The sequence below is a fragment of the Homo sapiens genome, chromosome 5 (genome assembly GCF_000001405.40).
Source record: "Homo sapiens chromosome 5, GRCh38.p14 Primary Assembly".
Lineage (NCBI taxonomy): Eukaryota > Metazoa > Chordata > Mammalia > Primates > Hominidae > Homo > Homo sapiens.
Genome location: NC_000005.10, coordinates 159,467,577 through 159,483,583, shown reverse-complemented (window position 1 = coordinate 159,483,583; position 16,007 = coordinate 159,467,577).

The window sequence follows — 16,007 nt, the reverse complement described above, 5'->3', positions numbered from 1 at the left end:
CCTTTCCTAGGAACTCAGCAGACTGTCCTTTCAGTCGATCCAAACTTCCCTCTGGTTCCCCTGCTCACTTTTGAGTTTCTAAAGATTCAGTGCCACTCCCTATCCATGGTGTTCCATCAGAGCTCACCACATCATAATGCGGACTACCTTTCTAGAGGCAATGAGTATCTCCAGGACTTAAACAAAAGTGGCAGATTTCCTTTGGCCAACGTGGCAATCTTCCTACCAGTTCAGTGATCTCCAGCCATGGGAAAGAAACTTCCCACTGCAGTGGGAAAGAAACCCTGACATCTTTATTCTTAAGTTAGTAAAAAGAAAACCACGATGTCCCCACAGGTCAGTGTCCTTGTTCTTCTAGCCAAAAAGAGTCTACTGACCTTCATATAAGAAGTGTGACTGGCTCTTGAAGTCACTTTTCCAGCAGTGTCAAGGCCTGGCCAATGCCATTAACAGCTTCCTTCCCCATACACACTTAAAACCTCCAGTACCCTAAAATCTTTTGAACGTATTGCCTTCTACTTGGGAGTTTCTCCAAGTTCTGCTTCTTACTTTTCATTCTAAATTTCATTGCTCTCTTTTCTAGCTTTCCCAGTTTGGGGACATCTGCTACTTTGGTTTATCAGTATTTCTCTCCTCTGGTTCTTCAGATAACAGCCTTGCTCAACACACACACCTCCGTTCATGGGATCACTGCCCCCTTGTTAGGCTTCCCATGTGAGTCTGATGGGACTGCCAACTCTGATGATCCCTCTGAGAGAATTAGTGCATGGCCCATCTTTATTTCCCTGGCTAAGGTGATTGGTTCACAGGATAGGCAAGTGACCCAAGCCATAGTAATCAGTCCTTTCCACATTTCTAAATCTTCTGAAATGGATTGGGGGAATTGTTTTTCTCCCAAGGTTGCTAGGCTTGGTTGATATGAGCTTGGAGCTGACTGTGGCCACCCCCCCTTTACCCTCTGCCATGTGGTGGAAGCTCATCCACAGCACAAGCTAAGGAGGCCTGAGTATAGAGATGGAGAGGGAGCGGCTGGTGGGTCCTGTTGACCAATTAGAGGCTCTGTATCTAGTATGACTAAATGAAGGGGGCAAATTTTAAAGGTCTCCTTTATCCCAAAGCTCCCAGAGCCTGCCCTAACAACAAAAGTGTGAGGTTAGCATGGAATACTATGCAGTCACACAAAAGAACGAGATCATGTCCTTTGCAAAAACATGGATGAAGTTGGAGGCCATCATTGTTAGCAAACTAACACAGGAATAGAAAACCAAATACTGCATGCTCTCACTCGTAAGTGAGAACTAAATAATGAGAATGCATGGATACACAGAGGAGACAAGCAGACATTGGGGCTTATTAGCAGGTGGAGGGTGGGAGGAGGGAGAGGATCAGAAAAATAACTATTGGGTACTAGGCTTAGTGCCTAGGTGATGAAATAATCTGTTTAACAAACCCCTGGGATACAAGTTTACCTATATAACAAAACTGCACATGGACCTGTGAACCTCAAATAAAAGTTCTAAAAATATAAATAAACAAGTACATAAATACATAAATAAATAAGTGTGAGGTTGGTATGTTGGCTAATTGTGTGAGTCAACCTGACTAGGCTAAGGAATGCCCAAATAGCTGATAAAACATTATTTCTGGGTGTGTCTGTGAGGGTGTTTCTGGAGGAGATCAGCACGTGGATCTGTAGACTGTGGGTAAGCATGATCCTATCTATTAAGGATCTGAAAAGAACAAAAAGGCAGGGGATGGGTGGATTGGCTCTTTCTGCTTGAGTTGGGACATCTGTCTTCTCCTGCCCTCAGACATCAGTGTTCCTGGTTGTCAGGCCTGCAGGCTCTGGCTGGGATTTACACCACCGGCCCCTCTGGTTCTCAGGCCTTTGGGTTTGGACTGCAACTACCTCACTGGTTTTCCTGGGCCTCCAGCTTGCAGATATCAGATAATGAGACTTCTCAGCCTCCATAATCCAGTGAATCAAGTCCTCATAAGTCTTTCCACATATCTATATCGTCTCCTATTGGTTCAGTTTCTCTGAAGAACTCTAACACAGTGGTATGATCACTCTGAGAAAGATTTGGATCCCTGGTGCAGGTTTGTTGACCTATAAGGCCTGGGGTAAAGCTTACTGGTCTACTCACTGCTTGAAATGCTGGCTTTTTTTAACAGAAAAAAAAAAAAGCATGAACTGAGTGGGTCAACCCTAATATTGTTTCTCACAGGTCTACAGGGGGACATTTGTTAGAAGGTCACAAATTTGGTTACACACAAATTTTAGTAATATTCCCCAAACACCCCTAAATTTCCATCAATAACGTTCTTTCCTTAGGAAGGCAATTTCTCAGGACCGGAGTGAAATGCTTCCTTTTGACAGAGAGGCAGAGCGATTAATGAGCAGATTAACTAGTCAGCCAAATGGGTGTGCTCATCATCCCCTGAATGTTTCTTGCACACTCCTTCTGCATACACAATGCTCCCACCTCAATGCCTTTCTTCCTTTCTGCCACTGACTCTATGGACACCCACTTTTTTCAATTGTGCCACCTGTCATCCAAAATCTGTGTGTGGGTGTGGACTGGCTGCAGGGGTGACTTACTGAGAAGAGCAGTGGGTTGAAAGCCTCCATACATAGTATATAATTTTTGGATATGATTCAGTTGTTAGTCAAGTGTACCTGGAGGCTTTATTGAGATTTCCTCTCCTTTTGTCAATAATCTTTCAGAAGGCCTGAGTTTTATAATTTTAGTGGAATAAAATTTAAGAACATCCAGATCCCAGATCATATCATTATTTGTATCCAACTTCCATGACTATTACTAATTGATCCAAAAGTCCTAGCCAACATCCAACCAAAGTAATGACAGGTAGTAATACTTCATGATCATATCTCTTAGTGTGAATTAGCTACTTAGGAAAACGTTTTAATTACTGAAGCTTACATGGGCTGTGCCCCAGATGCAGATAGGCCACAGAAGGATGGAGGAGATGACTCTAAATGCCCTCTCCTCCAAGAAGCCTTCTCTGAGTTCCTTTTCTTTTTGTGCCTCTCATTAGAATCTGATCATTTGCTGCTTCTCATTAATAAGCATTTACTAAGTAGCCACTGTGTTCCAGACACTGTTAGATGTTGCAGGGAAGGTCTTCCTCCTTGTTTTCCTGAAAGGACATACTTCCTTCTATCCCTCCACCCTTTACCCAACTCCTCCACAGAGAGGGAAGAAAAGAGGAGAAGCTAATCTGATTGATCATCCTTTGACATTTTATTATACCATGAGCAGTGTTACTCGTGTGGGCTCTCCTGGCCCACCCACAGGTGAATGGTTGAGGCAAGCCTGCCATCCTTGCTCACATCACTGGTGGGCAAATGAATGCAGTGTCTGCTCCTTGTCTCTCACTACCTATTGACATGCCTGAGCATGGAGGTCCCAGGATTTAGATTGAGGATGAGAAGGAAAGGCCTTATCGGCCTTGGACCTAAGCTATGTATTCTACTCCAGCTTCAGCCAGAATTTTTGCATGTGAATAATGGGTACTCATTTGGCTATTAGGACTATGATTACTGAGCATGTGTATTGGTCCTCCATCAGATAGGCAGGTGCAAGCGTTGAGTGACAGATTACCAACTGCTAATCACAAACAGCATTGTTAATTGCATCTTTCTTGTTAGGGTGGCAAAGTGTTAGTCATAAGACTCAATTCCCCAGAGTTCAGGAAAGGTACCCATCTAAAACTCCTTTGTGATAGTCTTATCTGAGCCACAGGGTCTGACCAAAGCTCTGCAGAGAGGGTGGGGTTTCCCCTAAAGAGAAATGGTGTTCTTACTACCGGTCATCCTAAGAAGAGGCCAGTCCTTATACAGCTATGAGGGAAACACTTCTTGCTCTGTTTGGGGTTTGAAATCGATACGGAAGATGACTAGAGAACTTCCAGGAGAGGGGAGAGTTGAAGGCATAGTTGCTGCTGCCAGTCACATAAAGGCAGGTCTTAAGCAAGATGGATCTGCCCTAGACCCAAAGGCAGTTCTATCCTGTGCAGTATTGTTCTTTGATGTGTGTTCCTCTTCCACTGTCTCCAGTCATTGCTACTTTCTCCTTAGACACTGCAGCGAGGCCTCTTGGCACTGTGGACATGGAAGAGCTAGGTTTCTGCTCAGCCCTAAGATGGAGATGTACTAGGACGGCAGAGACCCACCCCCAAAGCCAGAGATTGGGTAGCAGGAACAGACAGCAACGGATGACAGCATGGACACCAGATGAGAAAAATGGGAGGAAGAGGGGGGATGCAACTGCTGTCATGGCATACCACCACAAAACATGAGCCTCTGTCCATTTCTGTGTTGCTCTCTCAAGATCAAAGCCCTGGGCAGAAGGGTGTCAGGACTGGAGCAGGTGCCCATGCCCTAGTTGTCTGTGGTTACAGGGAGAGAGGAAGGATTTTCATAGTGGGGGGCAGGGCACCCACAATAGGGAGTTCCCCTTCTCACACAGGAAGCAGGGTTAGGAAAAAAAAAAAAATATATATATATATATATATAAATTGCTACATATAACATATAATTTTATAATATATAATTTTTATATTTGAAATATACATAGAGTTTACATATATTTTATATATAATGTATATGTATGAATTATATATTTATATATATTATATATCTTTTTATATATTTAATATATATATACACAGAGAGAGAGAGAAGATATCTAATGGATATCCTCTACCCAAAAATGATCTCTTCTACTTTCTATGAAAGTACCTGGAATTTCCTCATTAGTAGCTCATTCTTAAAGTTATAAGGTCCTTTAATCTTCGGGAGTTATCTATTAAGTCATAAATATCTCTGGGAGAAGTCATATTTTAGACCAGGTGTGATGGCTTACGCCTGTAATCCCAGCACTTTGGGAGGCCAAGGCGGGTTGATCACTTGAGGTCAGGAGTTTGAGACCAGCCTGGCCAACACGGTGAAACCCCATCTCTACTCAAAATACAAAAATTAGCTGGGTGTGGTGGTGCATGCCTGTAATCCCAGGTACCCGGGAGGCTGAGGCAGGAGAATAGCTTTAACCTGGGAAGTGGAGGTTACAGTGGGGCGAGATTGCACCATTGCACTCCAGCTTGGGCAACAGAGTGAGACTTTGTCTCAAAAAAAAAAAAAAAGTCATATTTTATTAAGCCCTTATTGATTAACACCTAAGTAGGAGTTTGAACAAATGATACCCAATGTTAAGCAAGCTGAAGGGAAGGCCCAAAGAAATGGAGCCCCTAATTATTCTTCTACTTATAGGTACTGCTATTTCCCCAATGCAAAAAGTTGCAGTTGTGACTAGTAAAACATAACTCGTTAAAAAGTATTACTATTACCCTCTCTAAGGTGGAAAAAATATCCAAGATACAAGTGAAAAAGAGAAATGGAACACAATTTGCATAGTACTATCTAATCATGGGAAAATTAAAAATTATATTTCTGTTATACTACACATAGAAAACAAAGTCCAAAAGAATATTCACTAGACTATTTACAATTAATATGCAGACAGTGAGATTAGAAGATGCTTTTATTTCCCTTTGTTAAACTTAAGTTTAAATTTATCAGAGTAATTTGTATAAAACATCTTTTTAAAAATCAGATAGTTCTACAAGGTTTATACTGGAAAAACAAGATTTCTCATTATTTCTCTTTGTAACCCTTATCTTCTCTCTAGGGCCAATCACTTTCAGCTTTGGGATATTTCTCTTGGTTATTTCCTTCCATATATAAAAATAATGTTTGTAAACCAGTACGTTCTGATTTTTGCATTTCATACCTCATTGATTGACTTTCTACTCTGGTCTTAACATTCCCACACAGATCCCCTTCCTACATACCCTTCCTCTCTCTCTGTTCTCCTAACACATTTATATCATGCTTTTGTTAAGTATTTTTAAAAATACTTAAATGTCCAATACTAGCATTACTAACATTGTAACTAAATTTTCAACATCACCATTCCCAATACTGTAACTATGTATTACTCACTGAAGTGACTATACTATGACTTTATTTTCTTTCTTGTACAACTTTGTGGTTTTTTTCTGGAATTGTCTTTGTTTTTGCTGTCATTGGGATTAACATTATTTTTTGCTTAGTTTTCTGTGTGCCTGTCACTAATTTATCCCCCCAACTCTCCCATGGAGCCCTAAGAATTTCTCTCAATATACCTGAATCCATTAGTAGTCTCTCAGTTCCACTCTTCTTAGGAACATCCACCGTGGAGACTTCCACCTTTTCCCTTCAACCTGTAATGGGTTTCTAGACCTGCCAAACAGCTGTCATTGTGGGCCATCTTTCACCATCAGCCTGGGAATTCCCTTCAGCTCTCTCCTGTATTGGATCCCCCACTTCCAGTATCCCATGATTTTCTATTTGTTGTTTTATTCTCTCAATATGGTTGAACACAAACTGAGAAGAGTTACCATGAGATGTAACATTTTTAAAACCTTACATGTTGGAAAGCATCTTTTAATCCTAACACTTGATTCACAGTTTATCTGGAAAAGCAATTCTAGAATGAAAGTCATTTTCCCTTAGTAATAGAAGGGCACTTCATTGACTTCTAACTTCCAAGGTAGCTGTTTAAAAGTCTCATGCCATTCTGATTTCTCTTTTCTGTATATGACCTATTTCTTCTCTCTGAAAGCTTTAAAACCTCTATTTCTGGCATTCTGGAATTTAACAATATTGTGCTTTGTGAGGGCCCTTTAAATGTCATTGTTTTGAACAGTTTGGTTGATGCTTTCCAGCTAGAAACTCACGTCCATCTGTTGTTGAATATGTTTATTATTTCTTAGGTATTATTTTTTCATTTTGGTTTTTTATTCCCTTTTTTAGAATTTTTATTAAGTAAATGAAAGACCTCCTACATACATCTCCTCTGTTTTCTCTTTGTCTTCTAGCTTTTCTCTCCTCTTTTCTACCTACTTTCAATATTTCCTCTACTTTATCACACAGATCTTTTATTGAAACTTCTATTCTTGTTACCATATTTTTAACTCTCAAGAAGCTCAGTATAAGTAACATCAGCAAAATGGTGAAATAGGAGTTTTCTACGATTATCTCCCCACAGAGCATCACTTTTGACAACGACTAATGGATCATACTACCTTTGTGGGAGTCTGAGAATCCAGCAAAGAAGTTCCAACACACTTTTGGGGAAAAAAAATCTGAGAAAAGCACACTAAAGAGGGTAAGAAAAAAAATTTCACTATACCCATGTCACTCCTCTCCTAGGACAGTACAGCTCAGTACAAAGAGAGAATCTCTCAGCCTGTGATTTCTCCCATGAGAGAAACTGAGAACATAGGAAGTGAGTACCTGGCTTCCCCAGTCATGTGGAATGCTGCCCAAGAGGGCTGCACCTTTCTTTTGCCACTCAAAGTACCATGGTGGTTGGTAGAGCTCAGCAGTTAGGAGAGATTGCGAGTAGAGAAGAGAAGAGACTCATAGCAACCAATACTCAGTATTCAGAAAAGGGATGCAGTTTTTATTAACTGCTTCATGAACTTCATCAGGAAGCTTGTCCAAAACTACTTGGGACAACACACATGCAGACTCCCCAGCTGGCCCACAGGCCTCTGCAATGTTATGCATGCCTCACATATCTCCCCTACCCCCATGCCAGCTTCCCACTTGTGGCCTCATGGACTGAAAGTGTGCATCTCAGCAGGAGGTTTACAAGTACATGCAGACAGACAGCCTGACTTGGCAAGATAGGAAAAAAGTACACAAAGTTGAGTATTTCAGGGCACCATCTTGGGAAAACAAATGAGAGGATCTCAGCACCTGGCTTGGCTCTGCAGGACCAAGAGAAGGCAGAGAATCTTAATAATTCACCCCCCAAGACAGAACAAGAGGTGTGGAGGGGGAATATTCATATAAAAGTTAGGAGAGAGTCTCAGAATCCCTAGTCAGACTGACTGGTGAAGGTGTTTCTCTCTCAAAGCTGGTCAGTAAAGACTAGAGGAGGTAATTGCTTCTTCAAATGCAAAGACAGCAAGGTAACACTTCAGGGAACACAGAAAATAATTGTGACACTAACAAAGGACCATGACACCAACAAAGGAACAATTTTTCAGTAACCACTCCCAAAGGAATGGAGATCTATGAATTCCCTGAAAAAGAATTTGATATAATTGTTTAAAGGAAGCTCAGTGAGCTAGAAGAGAATAACCCTTCTCTTTGTTGAGATAGATAACTCAACATTATCAGAAAAACAACACATGAACAAAACAATGAACTCAACAAAAAGAAATGATTAAAAAAACAATTCTGGAACTGAACAATACAATGAATGAAGTGAAAAATGCAATAGAGGCCTTCAACAGTAGACTCAATCAAGCAGAAAATAAAGAATCTATGAACTCAAAGACAGGTCATTTGAAATTATCCTGTCACAAAAGAAAAAAGAATGAGAAAGAGAAAAGAGAGCCTACAGAATTTGTGGGATGCCATTAAGAGAATTGCTAGAGATGCTCCTTGACTTAGAATGGGGTTATGTCTCAATAAACCCATCATAAGTTGAAAATATCATAAGTCAAAAATGCATTTAATACACCTGACCTACCTAACATCATAGCTCAGTCAGTCTATCTTAAACATGCTCAGAACACTTACAGTAGCCTAAACCTGGGCAAAATTATCTAACAAAAAGCCTATTTTATAATAAAGTGCTGAATATCTCATGTCATTTATTAAATATTGTACTGAAAGTGAAAAACAGAATGATTATATGGGTACTTGAAGCATGGTTTCTACTGAATGTGTATCGCTTTCATGGCATCATAAAGTTGAAAAGTTTTAAGTTGGACCACTGTAAGTTGAGAACCATGTGTTCCATAAGTCTTATGGAAGGAGGAGGAGAGGAGAAAAGGGCAAAAAACTTATTTAAAGAAATAATGGCTGAAAACTTTCCAAATGTGGGGAGAGATATGGACGTCCAGGTATATGAAGCTCAAATGTCTTCAAACAGGTTCAACCCAAAGAGTACTTCATCAAACCTGTTGCAATAAAAACTTCAAAAATCAAAGACAAAGAAAGAATTTTGAGAGCAGCAAGAGAAAAGAAACTCACCAAATACAAAAGAACACTGTAAGATCATCAGAGGACTTCTCAGCAGAAACCTTACAGGCCAGGAGAGAGTAGGATGATATAGTCAAAGTGTTGGGGAAAAAAAGGCAACCAAGAACACTTTAGCTAGAAAAGCTATCATTTAGAAATGAAGAAGAGATAAAGTCTTTCTCAGACAAACAAAAACTGGGGAAGTTCATTACCACTAGACCTGCCTTACCAGAAATGCTAAAGGGAGTTTTTCAAATTGAAATAAAAGGCTGCTAACTAATAAAATGCAAACATATGACAGTATAAAGCCCACCGGTAAAGGTAAGTATATAGCCAAATTCACAATATTCTAATATTGTAATATCAAGATGTGTAAATTATTTTTAATTCTAGCATAAAGGTCAAAAGACAAAAGTCTTAAAATAACTATAGCTACAATAACTTGCTAATAGATACACAATATAAGAAGATGTAAATTATGAAATCAAATACATTAAATGGGGAGGGGAAGTATACTTTTTGTATGCATTCAAAGTTAAGTTGTTATTGGCTTAAATAGGCTCTTATGTCTCATTGTGACCCTGAAGCAAAAATCTGTAGTTAATACACAAAAGATACAAAGGAATTAAAGCACACTACTACAGAAAATAATCAAATTATAAAGGAAAACAGCAAGATAGTTAATATCCCAAATGTGTAAGGAACTCATAGAACACAATACCAAAAAACAAATAACCCAATTAAAAAATGAGTAAAGGACCAGAATGGTCATTTTTCCAAAGAAGGCATACATATGGTCAACATGTATATGAAAAGATGCTCAACATCACTAATCATCAGGGACATGCAAATCAAAACTATAATAAAATATTACTTCATACCTGTTAGAATGGCTGTTATCAAAAAAACAAAAGATAAATGTTGGCAAGGGTGTGTAAGAAAGGGTACTATTGCACACTGTTGGTGGGAAAGAAAATTGATACAGTCATTGTGGAAAACAGAATGGAAGTCTCTCAAAAAAATTAAAAGTATTATTAACATATGATCCAGCAATTACACCTCTGGGTATATGTCCAAAGGAAGTAAAATTTCTAACTTGAAGAGATATCTGCACTCCCCTGTTTATTGTAGCATTATTCACAATAGCCAAGATACGGAAATAGCCTAAGAATCCGTCAACAGATGAAAGACTAAAGAAAATGTGGTATATGTACACAATGGAATGTTATTTGGCATTTAAAAAGAAGGAAATCCTGCTATTTGTGATACCATGGATGAACCAGGAGGACGTTATGCTAAGTGAAATAAGACAAACAGAAATACAAACACTGCCTGATCTCACTTATATGTAAAATCTAAAAAAAAAGTTGAACTCATATTAACAGAAAGTAGAATGGTGACTATCAGAAACTGGAGTGTGGGGAGAAAGAGATGTTGTTCAAAAGGTACAAATGTAGTTTGTACCTATAGTTAGAAATGTATTTTATATTTGAAATTTGCCAGGAGAGTAGACCTCAAGCGTTCCACCTCCAAAAAGGTCACTATGTGAGGGCTGCTAATTAGCTTGCTTGTGGTGATCATTTTACAAAGTATATGTATATCAAAACATCATCTTGTACACCTTAAATATATACAGTTTTTATTTGCCAATCGCACTTCAACAAAGCTGGGAGAAAAACTCGTTCCTTTTCTATACCATCCTCTTATTGTTTCATAGAGATAATGTTTTATCTCTATGAAGAAAATACTGACTTATTGTTTGATTGTTTGTTTTGAGACCAAGTCTCGCTCTGTCGCCCAGGCTGGTGTGCAGTGGCGCGATCTCGGCTCACCGCAAGCTCTGCCTCCTGAGTTCACGCCATTCTCCTGCCTCAGCCTCCTGAGTAGCTGGGACTACAGGTGCCCGCCACCATGCCTGGCTAATTTTTTGTATTTTTAGTAGAGACAGGGTTTCACCGTGTTAGCCAGGATGGTCTCAATCTCCTGACCTCGCGATCTGCCTGCCTTGGCCTCCCAAAGTGAATACTGACATATTTTTTAAATCTTTTTTTCACTGCATTGTCTTTGTTTTCTCAGTGTTTTATTTTCCCTGTTAATTTACTTTGCTATCTACATTTCAAGTTAGAAGCCATGCTTAGTCTTTGACTACATCGAGGGGAGCCTTTGGCTATTCTTTGACTTAAGAGAGAAATACTGACCAGAAAGGACCCACCACCACTCCACTGGGGATACCCAAAGGGCAGTAACTGTGGGATTCTTTTCTTGTGCTGGTCTACTTTCCCTGAGAACAACAATCTAATGTGTAGTGCGGTGAGCCTGGCTGCTGCATTCTGGGAGCTGAGCGCTGGAAGGCAGCTGGAGTCCTCCACATTCAGTGTAGCATCTTTCACTTAATCCCCCTGCTTTTAATAAAGCACATGTGATGTTCTCTGTCTCTGTGCCCAGCTGTGTCCTGAGCCCAGAATGTCTCAGTTTCAACTCTCTGGAGAGGACACATTCTGTTTTCTGCTGGATTAAGGAAAGGCAAGTTGCCTAATTGCTCAGGCTGGGGGATGGACTCTGAGAATCCAATTACTTTTTTTTTTTTTTTTTTTTTTTTTTTTTTTTTTTTTTGAGACACAGTTTCGCTCTGTCGCCCAGGCTGGAGTGCAGTGGCGCGATCTCGGCTCACTGCAAACTCCGCCTCCTGGGTTCATGCCATTCTCCTGCCTTAGCCTCCTGAGTAGCTGGGACTACAGGCGCCCGCCACCAAGCCCGGCTAATTTTTTGTGTTTTTAGTAGAGACAGGGTTTCACCGTGTTAGCCAGGATAGAATGGTCTCGATCTCCTGACCTCGTGATCCGCCCGCCTCGGCCTCCCAAAGTGCTGGGATTACAGGCGTGAGCCACCGCGCCCAGCCCCAGTTGCTCTTTAATCAGACTTAAACCCATCCTCCTATGTTCAGACCCACCTACACCTTGGCTTGCAGAGGAGCTCTGAGCCTCCAATTCCTAAGATGCCAGAGGTTCTGTGGGGTGAGCTGACTTGCTCTTTATGATTCTCTATCCTCTTGCCTCCCAGGCTTTCCTTTGGCTCTAAGAAGACCCTTATGAGTTCTGCATCCCAGCTTGCATTCTGTTGACTTCTCTCATTTTCCCACTTTCTTTGTCTTTGTGGGTTTTACCACCTTCATTCAATCAATGTCATTTTAGCTGAGTTTGGGGAAGAAACCAAAATTAATACATCTGTTCACTCTGTGACATTTAAATGGAAGTTTTCAGGGCATCTTGATTTTTTTATATTAAAGCACCTTGATTTTGTATGTTATTTATGGTAATATAAATATATTTTATTTATTTCCCATTATAATTAGGGAAAATAAACATTTTAAGGGCTTTTCTGAGATCCTATTAGCTTTGACCATATATTTTCTAAAAAAAGAAGAAAAAAAAAAGCAGGTGACACTAAAAGTACTATCTCTTTCTGTGACAGCTTTTTTACATGAAAACTCAGCTCAGGTCCTGGAAAAGGCTGGCGATTCCTTGGCCTGTAGGGCCAGTTCGGGGTTAGAGAGAGAGAGACAGCAGAAATGTGAAAAGCAGTGGAAGGAAAATGCAAAGAGAAGAAGGGCTTGGCCAAGAGAGGGTGGGGAAGAAGTCATACCAACAAATCCCACTTTCTTCACAGACCTCTCCAGAGTGAGGCCCTGCCAAGTAGAATAAATACCATCATAATAAAACGCTTTCCAAAACAAAAAGAGTTTGAGAGGCCAGGCGATGTCAAATCTAACGGAAATCAATGCCACAAAATCCCAACCAAACTCGAGAATTAGGGCAGTCCCACAAAACCCATTGCAATGGTCTCTGACCTCAGAGATATCTAATGTGGTCAGTGGGAAGGGTGGGGGCACCAGGAATGGGACCAAGGAGGGTATGGTTATGTTCCCTCCCTCTCTGTTTCTCTAAGGAAATTTAATTTCTTTCTGGGGGGTTCTTCTTCCTGCCAGAATCCCTAATTCTTGGTGATACCACAAAACCTTTGTCTCATTTCTTTTGTTTTGGGTTCTCTGCTTTTATGTGCTTAGGCAGAAGCCGAATCTGTAATCCAGTTACTGTTATTCACTTGACTGTTGTTTGAAAACGCAAATAGATCAGTTCTGAACCCTATTATAGCCCATCCATGTCCCCTCCAGCATCGGGCCTGCTGGAGTGCACTGTAACCCCCTTGCAGGATGACTCGCTCTTCACATTTAGCGGGTGCCATTTGCTGTCTAATCCTCTTACCCTCCAATGTGTTTTAGCCACTCGCTGCAGCATAAAAACATGCCATGGTAACTATGTACTTAAGAGCCTGTGTTCTTGGCCCTTGATTCTGAACCAGGAAAGGAAACCAAATAATGATCAACTCATAAAATGAAATGCCCAAATTAGATTTTGTTCTTCCCGTGGCCCAGCCCCCAGGATTACGGTGACTAATGCAGCAAATGGAGTGAAGCACAGAGATTTTCAGCCCGGCGCGGGAAGCACAGCTTTGGCTGCATGTCAGAGGGTTAGAAACCCAGGGAAGGAAACTGCTTGGAGCAGTCCTGCCCAGTGTCAAAACAACCTGGGGATGATTGCAAAGCACCACAGTGGTTTTCTCATCCAATTCTATCTGAAATCCCCTGGAGAAAATCCACAATATGTGTTTTCTAGCCTATAGTTGCTTTTAATAATGGTGGTCCAATTTCTAGGAGGTCGAACATGATACAGCCCTGGCTTAATACCTTACAGCTGAGTTAGCAATCAAAGCAGTGGTTACTGTGGCAGGAAGAGGGCAGGGCTTGAGAAGGAACTTCTAGAGTGCTGGTATGATTCTGATTTTTTATCTGGGTGCTGGTTCCTCAGGGGTATTCAGTTTATGCAAGTCCATCAAGCTGTACATTTATGACATGTGCACTTTTCTACATGTGTATTATTCTTCAATAAAGCATATTTTTTAAACTTACATCAGTGACTTTTACCTGTCTCGAGTCACAGAGCCCTTTGAAAATCTGATAAAGGATGTGGCCCTCTCCCCAGAAAAACTCACAAAACCCCTAACTGTGCATCTAATCTTGGGAGTCTCATTGACTCCCTGAAATCACGAACAGAGGAGAGAGGACCCATGAGCCCCAAGTGAAGATTCCCTGCCTTCCAGGATTCTCTGCTTTCTTTGTAATTTTCACTCCCATTTCTACTCAATTGCAGAGAGTCACCCATGGATCCTGCAGACAGGCTACCTACCCAGCATTTCCACATTGCCAGCCTGGCTCATCTCTGGTCTCCTTTGTCCCCAGTTCATCCTGGGCACCTCTGTGTGTGTGCACCATGATAGGCTTCTGCTCAAAACCTACACTGCCTTCTCATGGCTAACTGGAATAAATGGAAACATCTCCTCCCAGATTTGCAGAAGCTCCATCAGACCCCCTTTCTTACCTACCCAACCCCATCTCATACCCTTCTCCCACCACAACCTGCAATTTCAGTGAAGTTCCCAATGTGTTGATTCATTCCTGCCTTTGAACATTCCACTTTTCTCAGCCCCAAATCCCTCTTTTTTGTGTGTGAAGCTCATAAAATACTGTAGCTACCATCCTGCCTTCTCTGAGAGCCCTTTCTTGACTACACCAACAAAAAGCTCTCCCTGTTTGAAACTCTGTAGCATTTTTCTCTCTATCCCTGATTTCATTACATGGTCTTGTACCATTCATTCATTCATTCATTTGTTCTTTCTATGAGAACTGTCTGTTATTTTGTTTAAACGCCATTAGTTTTTGATTGCTATAACCAATTACCACAAATGTAGTGGTTTAAAACAACACAAATATATTATCTCACAATTCTCTAGGCCAGAAGTCCAACATGGGTCTCACTGGGCTAAACTCAAGGTGTCAACAGGGCTGTGTTTCTTTCTGGAGGCTCTAGGAGAAAATCCATTTCCTTGTCTTTTCTACCTGCAAGAGGCTACCTGAATGTCTTAGTTCATGGCCCCCTTCCTCCATCTTCAAGGCCGGCAACAGAGGGTTGAATTCCTCTCACATGACAGCACTCTGCCCTCCTCTTGTACCTCTGTTTCTCCCTTTTAACGACCCTTGTGATTACAGTGAGTCCATCCAAACAATCCCAGATAACCTTATTTTAAGATCAGTAGATTAGCAACCTTAATTCCATCTGCAACCTAAATTCCTCTTTGCCATGTAAGGTAATATATTAACAAGTCCGGGGGTGGGGGGTGCAGGGGCGGGTGCATTTTTCTATCCTACCACAAATTCTGCAGGACTTTCTTCTCTACATCTGATTTTATCACATGGTCCTGTATGATTCAGTCATTCATTCTATAGTGAACATCTGTTGTTTTGTGGTCCGGCATCTATTTACCCCATTTCTAATTATAATATCCCAAACTTATCCCTGGGAGTCACTACATCCCGCACTCTCAGGTAACATGTAAGGTTACCGTACACGTACTCCGTGGAGAAAAATCCCACCTCAAGTCCAGCTTTGGTCACAGTGACTCTTTCAGTGATGGGCATGTGACCCAGTGAGAATCACATATTGGTGGAACTGGTGGGAGAGAGGCATATGTTCTTTGCCTTTGTAGGTGAATTGGAAAGATGAGACTCTGGAAGTGCCAAGAACACCATGGGAAGCCTGGAAATGAAACCCACACTGGAAAAGGCAGATCTGACAGAATATTAATGCCATCATTTGAGTCCCCTAAATCAAATCACGACTGAAATCAGACCAACCTCTGGGCTTTTCAGTTATGAGATTTATAAATCTCTTTTTTAATTAAACCAGGTTATATCTGTCACTTACAACAGAAAGAGTTCTAAGTGAAACACATTCCTTTATTCACTCCCTTATTCAACAGGTTCACCCTGCCTGCCTACATTTGTATCAGG